The sequence below is a fragment of the Homo sapiens genome, chromosome 1, assembly GCF_000001405.40.
Source record: "Homo sapiens chromosome 1, GRCh38.p14 Primary Assembly".
NCBI classification, from domain to species: domain Eukaryota; kingdom Metazoa; phylum Chordata; class Mammalia; order Primates; family Hominidae; genus Homo; species Homo sapiens.
In genome coordinates, this window is record NC_000001.11 from 179,065,149 (window position 1) to 179,079,640 (window position 14,492).

Here is a 14,492-nt window from a genome sequence, read left to right on the forward strand (position 1 = left end):
TTTTTTTTTTAAGTTTTTTTGAGACGGAGTTTTGCTCTGTTGCCCAGGCTGGAGTGCAGTGGCACAATCTCAGCTCACTGCAACTTCTGTCTCCTGGGTTCAAGCGATTCTCCACCCTCAGCCTCCTGAGTAGCTGGGACTACAGGCACTCGCTAATTTTGTATTTTTAGTAGAGACAGGGTTTCGCCATTTTGGCCAGGCTGGTCTTGAACTCCTGACCTCAAGTGCTCTGCTTGCCTCGACCTCTCAAAGTGCTGGGATTACAGGTGTAGTGCCACACTTTTAGTTGCATTTAATAAATATTTACTAAATAGAACGCTTCCTTGGAGTACAGAATTTTCCAGGCCCTAGGTCACTACTGTTAACATTGGTTGTTGGAAATAAGCTAAGACATGGCTCCTCAGCAAAGAGTGCTTGGGCAGCATTTGCTAATGATGCCACCATCTTATACTGAACACCAGGCGCCTCATGCTTTGTGAAAGATGGTGATGGCCACAGAAAATGAAAAACCAGCAAACACTGCCTCTCCCTCTACCCCATTACAGCAAAGCACATAGCACTCATCCTGTGATACACATGATACTTGATATTTGGTGTATATCAAAATAGTTGCTTTGTCCACTCGGGCCGCTATAACAAAATCCCTTAGACTGGGTAATTCATAAGCATCAGAAATGTATTGCTTACAGTTTTGGAGGCTGGGAACTCTAAGATGAAGGTGCCAGCAGATTCAGTGTCTGGTGAGGGCCTGTTTCTCAGATGGTGCCTTCTATGTGTCCTCATATGGCAGAAGAGGTAAACACGCTCCCTCTGGCCTCATTTATAAGGGCACTAATCCCGTTCATGTGGGCTCTTCCCTCGTAACTTAATCATCTCCCAAAGGCCCTACTTCTTAATACTGTTGGACTGTTGTACCAGGGATTACGAATTTGAGGGGGACACAAACATTCAGACCATAGCAGTTGCCTTTGCCTTGAATTACTGGAGGACCTACACTGTACTAAGGGCTACCAGACTCTAGCTATTAAGGTGAGCCTCTGGAAAGATTGAAAGGTTGACAGTTTTCCAGAATCAGTTCTCCTTTTCTAACTCTGAATTGCTGCTAAGGTAATTTTTGCATCTGCTGTGAATCAGTTTCCTCAGCCTGTGTGAACAGTTTTTCCAATTTGAATCTGTACTTATACTTACTTGTAGGGAATAGGATATTGCTAATTTGGGAGTAGAATAAGTGTGACTTCTTTTTACAAGTAATGGTCATCTGCTTGTTTGTGGGAATCTAATATAAATGGCTTTTATTTCTCTCTGGTCCTTAAAACCTTTGCAGGCTTAGGGGTCTTCAAGTTCTCCCTTTGGTCTGTGAACTCCGCACTGTGTTTACCATAGTTATGCTCCAGCACCTTGTGATATCTTGGCAGGAAAATGTCCCTTGTAAATGAGTATATTTGTTGTCAGATATTTTAGTACAGGCTGTTAGGGATCCTGTGTCTAATTGGTCATGCCCCGCTTGTTTTCAATTTAAGTGATTTGAGCTGCTGGAGCGTGAAATTATCTAGGATCACATTTGAGTTTCATATAGAATTTGCTATTGCTTTGATGCTAAGAAGAGAACAGTACTTCCACCTAATTCACTAAGTTTTAATTTAATTTTCAGCTTTGGGAACCCCTCGCTGGATGAAAGAAGCATTCTTGCCCCTCTCTATCAGTGTTGCATGTAAGTTATGCACAGCAAATACATGTGCCTGCATTGCCTTCTTTTCCAGGCTCAGGTAACAGTACATCCATTTTCTTGGCCCTCAAACTTTCTGATACCTGAGCAGTGCTTTTCATACTTTTCCAACCTAGAACCTCTGGACATCCTGAAATGGGATATCAGGGAAAGGTGAAGGCAGATAACCCAAAGCTCAGAATTCATCTCAAATTTTGTATGAATAGAAGATTGTATGTATACAGTAATACATGTTTGGTTTAATAGCAGAATATAATCACCCACACTCCCCACCCCACTGCCAAAAAAAAAAAAAGGAGTAAAATCTGTATGCCTGGTTACTACACCTGGTTACCTTGTGGTTTTAACTCCTCTCACTCACCCATCACATACCACCTGGGGTTTACATATTTCAGTTTGAAATTGTCTAAACCAAAAGTAACTTTTTCCATAAATAATAATTTATTTTGGCCAGGCACAGTGGCTCACTCCTGTAATCCCAGCAATTTGGGAGGCCAAGGTGGGTGGATCACCTGAGGTCAGGAGTTCGAGACCAGCCTGGCCAACATGGCGAAACCCCGTCTCTATTAATAATACAAAAATGAGCCGGGCATGGTGGCAGGCACCAGTATTCCAGCTACTTAGGAGGTTGAGACAGGAGAATTGCTTGAACCTGGAAGGCAGAGGTTGCAGTGAGCCGAGATTGTGCCATTGCACTCCATTCTGGGTGACAGAGTGAGACTCTGTCTCAAAAAAAATAAATAATAAATAATAATTGGTTTTTTTAAAAAAACTCTGTATTAGAGAACAGAGAAATTGAAAAATGAGTCAAGAAAATGAGATAAAGTCTAAGCTCTAAGAAGCTTCTTTTCATCATTCCTGAAATAATTTTATTTTACTATTTTATTTTTTATTTTATTATTTTTTTGAGACAGGGTCTGCATCTGTCACCCAGGTAGGAGTGTGGTGGTGCGATCTCAGCTCACCGAAATCTCTGCCTTTCGGGTTTAAGCAATTCTTGTGCCTCAGCCTCCCGAGTAGCTGGGACTACAGGCACCTGCCACCAAACCCAGCTAATTTTTGTATTTGCAGTAGAGACGGGTTTCACTATGTTGGCCAGGCTGGTGTCAAACTATTGACTTCAAGTGATCCGCCTGCCTCAGCCTCCCAAAGTGCTAGGATTACAGGCGTGAGCCACCGCGCCCGACCATCCTGGTGTAATTTTAGAGCACGCACATCAAGAATTAGCTGGGATCCACCTTGCTTGGCTACACAGAAAAACAAGTTCAAGAGCACCATTTAATACTGGTCAGCTCCCAGCAACATCATATCACATAAGACTGCCATAGCAACTGGTCTCTTAATCTTCTTTCTTTTTTTAAATGACAACAAAATTCTGTAGAAAGTAACAGTTTACCCAGGCTGTCCTTCATTGTCTTTATTAATGATAGGAAGCAGTGATATATACAATCAAGAATTGTGTGTTTGTCTTTGAAGATGTTTTTGTGGTAGTAGTTTTATCAGTCTGGTTCAATCAGGAGATAGCAAAGACATAGTGTGATAAACAGAGGTGTTTAATATAAAGAATTTTTTTTTTTTGGAGATGGAGTCTTGCTCTGTCACCCAGGCTAGAGTACAGTGGCGCGATCTCGGCTCACTGCAGCCTCCACCTCCCATGTTCAAGTGATTCTCCTGCGTCAGCCTCCCAAGTAGTTGGGATTACAGGCGCCCCTCACTGCATCTGGTTAATTTTTGTATTTTTAGTAGAGACGGGGTTTCACCATATTGGCCAGGCTGGTCTAGAACTCCTGACCTTGTGATCTGCCTGCCTCGGCCTCCCAAACTACTGGCATTACAGGCGTGAGCCACTGCGCCCGACCCAATATAAAGAATTATTAAATTCCAATAACAGGAGTGACTATAAAAGGGCTGAGGGAGAGTACCCAAGGAAGGACAAACTTGGAAGGGGATCCCCTCCCAATGACTGGAGTTTGGACTTCAGTGGAGAAGGTTTAGCTCAGCCCACCAGATAGCAGAGAAGTTTGCTAGTTTGCAGGTGCTGAGCAAGCCAGAAGCAACTCTCCAGAGTGCAGGTGGGGTGTACATTCAAGCCACAGCTGGTGTCATGACATGCAGAAGGAGAGAGAGAATCCAGTAGAAACCTTCTGTGCTGCAAGTGAGGCACACACGTGGGCCTTCAGAGGGAATTGGGGCCAGGGTGAGCAGATGGCCTTCAAAGCTCTGGTTTCCATGTTGAGAGGGCCTCGGGAGAGTTATCCCCAGGCCAGGCTAAGGCTTCAGGTCACCAAGGACCCACACCTTCTGGGAGTGTGGCTAGACAGGTCTTCAGTGGATGACCTCTCTGCCTCCCCAACACCACCATTGACCCACAGAAGCATTTGGAGAGCCCCTTCACCCTGCAGTGTCCCCTTTGCGCCCTCTAGTGAGAATGCTTTAGGGGAAAGATGCTTAAAGGAATCCCATCCGTCGTAGCAGAGCACATTTTGTTTTTGTTTTTGTTTTGTTTTGTTTTTTGAGATGGAGTCTCGCTCTGTCGCCCAGGCTGGAGTGTAGTGGCACGATCTCGGCTCACTGCAACCGCTGTCTCCCGGGTTCAGGCGATTCTCCTGCCTCAGCCTTCTGAGTAGCTGGGATTACAGGCACCTGCCACCACGCCCAGCTAATTTTTTGTATTTTTAGTAGAGATAGGGTTTCAACATGTTGGTGGGGCTGGTCTCGAACTCCTGACCTCAGGTGATCCGTCCGCCTTGGCCTCCCAAAGTGCTGGGATTACAGGCATGAGCCACCGTGCCTGGCCAGCAGAGCATATTTTGAAGAGTGAATTTGGAGCTGAGAGGAAGTAACATAATAACTTAGTCTCACAGAGGAAGCTCTGATGCTCTGGGCATTTGTAATATATTTAAGAATAAAAATAACTGTACTCCGTCTGTGCCTGTTTGTCCCTTCCATGCATGCTTTATGCAGCAGTCTTTCTTACCTTTTAAATTGCTGCACAACAGGCTGCCTTTTACAGAATCAGACATTTCTGCATACCCAGTAATTCCTCCTTTACCCACAGAGAGCTAAGAACTTTTCTTCTCAGATTTTAAATAAAAGATATGCTATAGTTGGTGTCTTAGTTCGTTTTGTGCTGCTGTAACAGGATACCACAGACTGGGTAATTTATTTTATTTTATTTTATCTTATTTTGAGATGGAGTCTCGCTCTGTTGCCCAGGCTGGAGTGCAGTGGCGCGATCTTGGCTCACTGCAACCTCCGCCTCCCAGGTTCAAGTGATTCTCATGTCTCAGCCTCCCAAGTAGCTGGGATTACAGGCATGTACCACCATGCCCGGGTAATTTTTGTATTTTTAGGAGAGATGGGGTTTCACCATGTTGCCTAGGCTGGTCTCGAACTCCTGACCTCAAGTGATCTGACCCCTTGGGCCTCCCAGAGTGCTGGGATTACAGGCATGAGCCACCATACCTGGCCAGACTGTGTAATTTATAATGAACAGAAATTTATTGGTTCACAGTTCTGGAGGCTAGAACGTTAAATATCAAGGTGCCAGCATCTGACAAGGGACTTATTGCTGTGTCATCATGTCACATGGCAGAAGGCAAAAGGGCAAAGAGAGAGGGCAACAAGGGGCTGAACTCGCCTTTTTTTTTTTTTTTTTTTTTTTTTTTGAGATGGAGTCTTGCTCTTTTGCCCAGGCTGGAGTGCAGTGGCACAATCTTGGCTCACTGCAACCTCCACCTCCCGGGTTCAAGTGATTCTTGTGCCTCAGCCTCCCAAGTAGCTGGGATTACAGGCACCTGCCACCACGCCCAGCTAATTTTTGTATTTTTAGTAGAGACGGGGTTTTACCATGTTGGCCAGCCTGGTCTTGAACTCCCAACCTGAGGGCCCACCTCGGCCTCCCAAAGTGTTGGGATTACAGATGTGAGCCACCGCTCCTGGCCTTGAACTTGCCTTTTAATAACAGCATTAGTTCCACCCATGAGGGCAGAGCACTCATGGCCTAACGACCTCTTAAAAGACTCTACCTTGATACTGTTACAATGGCAATTTCAACATGTATTTTGTAGGGGACAGACATTCAAATGGTAGCAGTTGGTGAAATAAGGCAGATAGGTATCCTTAAAATAATTTTTTCCGCCAGGCGCAGTGGCTCACGCCTGTAATCCCAGCACTTTGGGAGGCCGAGGCGGGCGGATCACGAGGTCAGGAGATCAAGACCATCCTGGCTAACACGGTGAAAACCCGTCTCTACTAAAAAATACAAAAAAATTAGCCGGGCGTGGTGGCGGGTGCCTGTAGTCCCAGCTACTCAGGAGGCTGAGGCAGGAGAATGGCGTGAACCCGGGAGGCAGAGCTTGCAGTGAGCCGAGATCACACCACTGCACTCCAGCCTGGGCGACAGAGCAAGACTCTGTCTCAAAAAAAAAATAATAATAATAATTTTTTCCCAGTAGAAATTATTTTAGACTTCAGAAACACATGAGGAAGAAGGAAGTTTATAGTACCCATTAACGTCTAAGGATTAACGTCTAAGGATCCTCTTGTTAACACTGTAGTGTACTTCATTCCAATCCATGTATGTGTATTTTGTTTTCCTACAGATTTGAAGTGAAACAGGTTTTTCCTCCAACCTCTTCCCCCCACCCAGCATCATATCATAGGCATTTTCCCATTCCACTAAATTTTCAAAATTGTTTTTAACAGCTGCATGGTATTCCTTTCAATGGATGAACCATAATTTAACTATTTCCCAGTCGTTAGACATTCAGATTGTTCAACATTTTTCCTGTTATAAACAGCACTGCAGTGAACATGTGTGTAAATCTCTGTATATATCTCTGATTAGTTACACAGAAACAATATCAAAACATAGTAATGTGGCTTACTCATTATGTAGGGGTAATTCTAAAGCAAAAATTATTTAGTTAAAGGATTTTACCTAATTATTTTTTCACTTTTGTCTGCCTAGCAGGCTTTCAACTCCGTTTGATAATGAGAAGTTTTATGTACCTTGTTCTATAACTTTTTCTCCCAGCATTCGGGTGTCCACCTGGAACAGACTGAACTACCTAAAGAATGGTGTGCTAAAGTCTGCCTTAAAATCTGCCATGGCCCATGACCCCATCTCCCCAGTGCTCTCTGATCCTCATCTGGACGCCGTGGACCAGCGGCTCCTGAGTGTCCTGGCCACCGTGAAGCAGTGCACCGACCAGTTTGGGATGGACACAGTACTGGTGGAAGACAGGATGCCTCTCTCACACTTGTAATTCTCGACACAAAATAAGTGAAACTTCTTTTTACAAAGATAGAGAAACAGCACAATCAATTCCAAATGGTATGAGATGGATTGGAAGTGGCCAGCAGCAAGTTCTGGTGACGGGACAGAGTGGCCTTGGATGTCTTTGGTATTTTCTGTAGTAGAAACTAAAGCAAAGACCACAAGTTTCAGAGCATGGAGACATTCCTGCTGAATCGCCTTCTCACCTCCTCGGCAATTGCTCATTCTAGGGTTGGGCATCATAGTTGGTCAGTCTTAATTCCCATGCCAAAGGACAAACAGGTGTGACATTTGGATAGATGAATACTGGGATTGGCTCTGGAGCATGTGTTTTGAGTTGAACCTTGCAGTCCTTTCTCTACGCCCGTGGATTTTGTGGAAACACTTTGCAATCTCTTTGTCTTTTTTTTTTTTACCAGAACTAGTTACATTGGAATGCTTACTGTCCTACAGAGTGGCAGCAAATAAAACCTTGCATTCCATCAAGCCAAAATAGCACACTCTGTTAGAGGAGATACATGTTTAAGATAGAATTGGAGGGAAGGACAAAAACAGAAAAATGTTTGGGCTTTTAAGCCATTGGGTAGTATTGTTTTGATGATCTTAGAGGAGGGAAGAAGAGAGAGAGACCCAATGGTAGAACCAGAATCAGGGAGATGACTGAACTACTGAAAAACAGGTTCCCTTGTATTTAGGATCTTAAGGTGTATAAAAAGCAAACATGACTTTGCACCTAAGTAAATTCTGCATTCTCATAGTTGTGTCCCAATTAACCAAAAAGTTGTCTCTAGAGAAAATACTATTACAATCTAAGCATGATTCTCTGTGGAGACTAATTTTTTCCCCTTTTGCCAAAAGCAGTCCTTCCCAAATTAACAAAGCAAACTGAAATAATACCTTGAATAACAGGTTGCCTGTGGTCTCTGTCATCCTCGTTTCTCTTCTGAAATGAATTTCCACCTCTGCCTTTAAGGCATTTTTGTCACTGAAGCTGCTGTTCCCAAGAGATCGGCAACCTTTTTGTCCCTTTCTCATAAGAAAGGGACACTCCTACAGGTGAGAGTGTATACCTTACTCTCTCAGATAAGTGGCTGGACTTATCTTGTGATTTGGGGCCATGGAAGATTGGAAACAAAGATTTTAAGCCTTCTTCTTTTTTTCTTTTTTCTTTTTTTTTTGAGACCAAGTCTCACTCTGTTGCCCAGGCTGGAGTGCAGTGGCACGATCTTGGCTTACTGCAACCTCCGTCTCCCAGGTTCAAGCGATTCTCTTGCCTCAGCCTCCAGAGTAGCTGGGATTACAGGCGCCCGCCATCGTGCCCAGCTAATTTTTATATTTTTAGTGGAGACAGGGTTTCGGGTTTCACCATGTTGGCCAGGTTGATCTTGGACTCCTGACCCCAGGTGATCCACCTGCCTCAGCCTTCCAAAGTGCTGGGATTACAGGCATGAGCCACCGTGGCCGGCCAAGATTTTAAGCCTTCTGAGCCTTGAAATTGAGGAGGTTAAAAGGAAGAGCCTTAAGATTTTGATTTATGTCAAATCCTAATTCTATCATTCAGTCTTGTTTGGAGTTCTGAACCCATGATGTTGTATTATGCTTCTTTCTCCTCTTAGCACTCTCAAATTTCAGGTTTGTAAAACACAGTTTTTGTTTTGTGTTCTGGCAAAGTGATCTCAACATGTAAGTAGTTGCAGTAAAACACAGGGGCAAAGGAAGACAGGCCTGATGTGCCCACTCATCTATGGACTCAGAGCTGTGTGCTTTGCTCCTGCATCTTGTTGAGGTGCTGTTCCAGCTTTGCATTTCTGTCAAGTAGAGGCGAATATATAAACAGTGTGGTTGAATACATTTAATGCCAGCCATTGGAAACTAGTTTTAGGCAACCACTCTCAAAAACAGCTTTAGAATTTATGCCCAGTTTTCTTGCATTGAAAGATAACTGAGTAATAACCTGTAACTATTTTTAAATGGCATGAAATTAGGAAACTTTTGTACATTTTATATACATTTTGAGATGAACAGAACAATGGGCTGAGTTATAAAAAGCGTGTATTGAATTTAAGAAGACAGACTAGCACAAAACACAGAATTCGTGTTAACCAAAGGAGGCATTGATTTCAGTTTTAAGGCTACTCAGTGTTGTGTGTCCAGGGAAATTCACAGCTCAGTATGAGAATACCTTGGTTAGTGCTCACCCACAAGCTTCCAGGAGCCAGCTGGGAGGAGACAATAGGAAGAGATGTCATCTCTGCTCTCCCTGTAAATGTTAGTTGAACTAAGTTATGGATTTGTGGTCTTTCAAATACATGACGCCTTTAGTATGCCACACTGAAATGAATAAGAAGTCTTCTGAAACTGGGAACTTCATAACATTGAAGGCAGAAGATTCTGCTAAGGAAAAAAGCAGGCAGGAAAGAAAATGTCTCATCCTTTCTTGAAAGCATTTGCAGAAAATATATCATTTCATTTTATTCCCATCTGTTTTCAAACTCGTGATCTTAAAAGGCATTCTGATGATAAATTTAGAATTTTCATCTATAAAATTTAGAACTCTAATCCATAAAGTTAGAATTGAGCTAATAGAGTGGTATGACATGGCACTAAAAATATAAATTTTTGTTGTAAGTCAGGATTGGAGTAAGCTGGAAAAGTATGTTTAGGCAAATCTTGGAGAAAACCAACCATAAACTTACAGCTCTAAAATTCAGAAAGCCCTAAAATTTCAAACACTGTTTGAAAGAAGAGGTGGGGGCCGGGTGCCGTGGCTCATGCCTGTCATCCCAGCATTTGGGAGGCTGAGGCAGGCAGATCACCTGAGGCCAGGAGTTCGAGACCAGCCTGGCTGGCTAGCATGGTGAGACCGTCTCTACTAAAAATGCAAAAATTAACAGGGCACGGTGGCATGCGCCTGTAGTCCCAGCTACTCGGGAGGCTGAGGCAGGAGAATCACTTGAATCCAGGAGGCGAAGGTTGCAGTGAGCTGAGATTGTGCTGCTGCACTCCAGCCTGGGAGACAGAGCGAGACTCTGTCTTAAAAAAAAAAAAAGGAGGTGAATTTTTTTTTAAGTTTTGTAACACTGTCCTACTTTATTTATTAGAATCTAAGGCTGTTACAATCAAGTCGTTGCAGGGTTTGGATCAGCTGTAAGTTAGGTATGCCTACCAAACATCCAAAGGTAGACGTGGAGACATTTTAATACTACAAAACTAGGAAAATCAGAACTCATGGCCATTTCCTGCCCTCCTCCAACTTGTTAAAACATGTTTATTCTAAAGTTCGAATGGATAAATTTGAGTATAAAGGTTTTGTTATAAAACTGTTCTTTAGTGTAAGGCTGCATTGTGGGTTTGGGGGAAATGTAAATAATTTTCTGTGTAAAACAAATTCATAGGATCTGATTTGCTCAGAGTATTATTCAAGAATGTATTAATAAGGCATTGCCCCCTGTTTGCACTCAGGGTTAATATGTCAAATGAAATTTAAGAAGGAAATGGAAGAATTCAGGTACATTAATTGCATATTATTTTGGGAAAGATGAGTCCTATACGTGGCAATTTTTCAATGTCATCTGAAGCCAGCATTATCTTCCAAAGAAATCGATCTTTTTTTTCTAAAAAAAAAAAATGCTTTTGCCTTCCCTTCCCTTCCCATCCGCCATATTTCTTCAGCCTTTCTTCTCGATCACCCGTGTATTCTTTGACCAGTAAATGACCACACCTCAATGATGGTAAAACAGCATCATCAGTAAGCTATCTTATATGCCTCATCCTGTGAGTTTGAGCTTCAGGAAACATGAGTAAAAGTATATGTAATGTATATAGTCGTATATGTATTCTAGCAAGAAAAACATATTTATTTTGACAAAGGGGAACACTGACTTTCTGAAGGATTCAGAAAGAACCTTAGTGAAAGGTTCTCAGTCTCTGAGAGTGGACCCTAATTAACATAAAGACCATTCATCAGCGAATAACTACTGAGCAACTCTAGTGTGCCAGCACAGGCCAGACATACTAGTGAGCCAGGCACATCTGGCCTTGGGAAACTCATCCTACAGGGGAAGGCCAGTTTTTTTCCCTTCAATTCCTCAAGTCTGGGTGGTGACAAGGTAGGGGCTAGGTACTGGACTACCACAGGTTTTTAGGAACTAAGGTGTTTCTCATAAACACAAAATGTTGGGTGAAACTGGGAACAACTACTCAGAAGCTCATTTATTTGCTTAAATGGAAAGTGTGGGAGCCACTACCCTCTCTTTTGATCTGCCAAGGATTTCCTCTCAGAGCTGTTGCACAGACAGAGATTGTACTTGGTAAGATACCAAACAAGACAGATATGGATCTAAATTTCTAATGTGTTCTATGGGTTTCAATTCTGAAAAAAGAAAATGAATAAAGATTTTAATAAATATTGATATCTGATCTTTTCCTCTTCTTTCCCCCTTCAGGATATTTCCAGTGGTTCCTATTTCAGTTCCCTTCCTGTTAGGGGACAGAAGAAGATTACATCTTTTGTGACCACTTAAACTTCCACAGGGATAGTTTCACAGTACCTGGTGGATTAGACCTTTAAATTTCCTCACCAGTCTTCAAACGGTTCATACTAGATTGTAACTATACCAAAATTTTCTATGGGATCATTGTTAGGTGCTTTTTGTATATTTAATAGTTAACTCCATTTTTGCAGCTTCCTTAGAGGTAAAGAATTATGAATCCTGAAGAACTTGTCAGCACACTACAAAAAAGGCAGGAAGAGAAGGCCAGTTGCCCTAGTAGTACTTCTTAGGACACCTAGATTTTTAACTTTTGAAATAGAATCCAGCATCATAAACCTCAACCAGGTAACTGAGCAAAGCTCTTAAGATTTTTATTGGGCCAGGCACCATGGCTCATGTCTGTAATCCCGGCACTTTGGGAGGCCAAGGCCCGTGGGTCACCTGAGGTCGGGAGTTTGAGACCAGCCTGGCCAACATGGTGAAACCCCTTCTCTACTAAAAATACAAAATTAGCCAGCTTGGTGCATGCCTGTAATCCCAGCTACTCTGGGGAGGCTGAGGCAGGAGAATCGCTTGAACCCGGGAGGCGGAGAGCTGGGATTGTGCCATTGCACTCCAGCCTGGGCAACAAGAGTGAAACTCAGTCTCAAAAAAAGAAAAAAAAAAAATAGCTGGGTGTGGTGGCAGGCGCCTGTAATCCCGGCTACTCGGAGGCTGAGGCAGGAAAATTGCTTGAACCCAGCAGGCGGAGGTTGCAATGAGCCGAGATCGTGCCATTGCACTCCAGCCTGGGCAACGAGCGAAACTCTGTCTCAAAAAACAAAACAAAACTATTTTATTTGCAGCATATTTGTGCTAGTTTTTGTCATTTGTACATGAATACATGTGGGAGGCTAGTAGAGCCTGGTCTGTGTATCTCACTGACTCACCACATACAAATTCTTTTCCAGGCTAGAGTTCAGGATTCATTTGCTTCTCAAGCATATCAGAACGACTGGTATTAGAGTTTGAAAAAGGTAGCTGGGAGTAGGGAGGGCGGGGCTCTGTTACTGGGTAATTTTACCTAGTATGTTTGCTTATTAGACTGATTTTTAGCAGTCGTCATTTTGTAAAATAGATAGGAATGGTCATAGCCACTGGATTTCCATGGGTAGGGTTTTGTAAGGTAAGTTGCAGTATAAGCCCCAAGGAATAATGGTATTAAATCACAATTTGTGAGATATTTGGTCTGTCATCAGTAGATCTGTGGGCCATTGTGCTGCAAGCTGTGGTATACCATTGAGATGATAGTGACTGTCTTTTCCCTCAAAGAGCCTGCAGTCTAGACCTGGCAGAAAAAAAAAAAAAAAAACTGCTTGTGAGGCACCAAGTCCCTCAGGAATTATATAAATTAATTGCAGTGAGAATAAGAAACGGGAGAGGATCATGGAGGTGGGGATTGGGAGGGATTGGGTTAGGCAGTACCTACATTGAAAAAGTGGAGATTGATCCAGGCTTGACGAGAGGTGTGTATAGAACCCCTGACTCCGGAAATGCAGAACTATTTGCTTAGTGGATACAGGGCCTTCTGGGCCTGTATTTTCAGTATCTGGGTCACCAGAAATATCGCTTCAGGGGTTTCTCATTGTTCTAGGAAATGTTTGTGTGCCCTGTCTCTTGAGGACATTCTCAGTCCACCTCAAGTGCTGTGTAGATGTTAAAGGAACATAGATGAGCTGGGAAACATTCCTGTAATGTTTCTCATGCAGGGTTATTTAAATATGGAGACTTGCGTTTGTTTTGTTTTTGAGACCAAATCTCACTGCAGTGCCCAGGCTGGAGTGCAATGGCGCGATCTTAGCTCACTGCAACCTCCGCTTCCCAGGTTCAAGCAATTCGCCTGCCTCAGCCTCCCGAGTAGCCAGGACTACAGGCGCATGCCACCACGCCCGGCTAATTTTTGTATTTTTAGTAGAGACGGGGTTTCTCCATATTGGCCGGGCTGATTGGTCTCAAACACTTGACCTCAAGTGATCCACCTGCCTTGGCCTCCCAAAGTGCTGGGATTACAGGCGTGAGCCACCGTCCCAGGCCGAGACTTGCTTTTGACCCAGTGTTTCCAAGGCAGATGGTTCTGATTGCCTTCAGTGGGGTTGGGAAGATGTCTGTTGTAAAGCTAGGTCATACTCAGATGACATCAATAAAGGTGTTGTGTGCCAATTTTGCCTTAGGCTTTTTTTTTTTTTTTTGGATTGACAGTCTTGCTTTGACGCAGGCTGGAGTACAATGGCACAATCATCGCTCATTGGCAGCCTCGAACTCCTGAGCTCAAGTGATCCTCCTCCCTCAGCCTCTCAAGTAGCTAGGATTATAGGCGCGCACCACCACACGCAGCTTATTTTTTATTTTTATTTTTGGTAGAGACAAGGGGTCTAGCCTTATTGCCCAGGCTGGTCTGAAACTCTGGCTTCAAGCCACCCTCCTGCCTCAGCCTCCCAAAGTGCTGGGATTACAGGCATGAGCCATGGCTCCCTGCACAGAAAGACCTTCTTAAAGTGCAGGTTTTGATTCAGTATGTCTGGGGCCTGAGATTCTGCATTTCTAACAAGCTCCTGGGTGATGCCAGTGGTGGGGTTCTGGAACCGCCCTTGAGTAGCACCGTAATGCTTGCTAAAGAATCATAGTTGTCTGTAGTTTTCCCAGCAGCCTCTAGATGTCCCCGTCATCCATGAGATACTGCTTCCAGAACTTTAAAACGAGCACAGCCTCCAAGGCCTGAGACGGAAAGGAGTATTTATTGAAATACTCAAGAGACGTATCTAGAAACTGGTGTTTGGATTTATTGTTTCTACACGGGACTGACTCTTTGGTGAAAAAGTGTTTACCTCTTTTTTTTTTTTTTTTGGAAAAAAACGGCCAGGCGCAGTGGCTCACGCCTGTAATCCCAACACTTTGGGAGGCTAAGGCAGGCAGGCAGATCACCTGAGGCCAGGAGTTCGAGACCAGCCTGGCC

General features: G+C 43.5%; 1 protein-coding gene across 7 annotated transcripts in view; it reads left to right on the top strand.

Annotated features, from left to right (window-relative positions):
- Positions 1-11,419, top strand: part of FAM20B (FAM20B glycosaminoglycan xylosylkinase) — a 59,234-nt gene extending 47,815 nt beyond the window's left edge. For all 7 annotated transcript variants that reach the window (XM_047436093.1, XM_047436094.1, NM_001324310.2 and 4 more), the window contains 2 exons: positions 1,652-1,711; positions 6,765-11,419. In XM_047436093.1, the coding sequence (XP_047292049.1) occupies positions 1,652-1,711; positions 6,765-6,996 (292 nt within the window). In that variant the 3' untranslated portion in view covers positions 6,997-11,419. The remainder of the gene's footprint in view (positions 1-1,651; positions 1,712-6,764) is intronic.
- Positions 11,420-14,492: the final 3,073 nt, after the last annotated feature.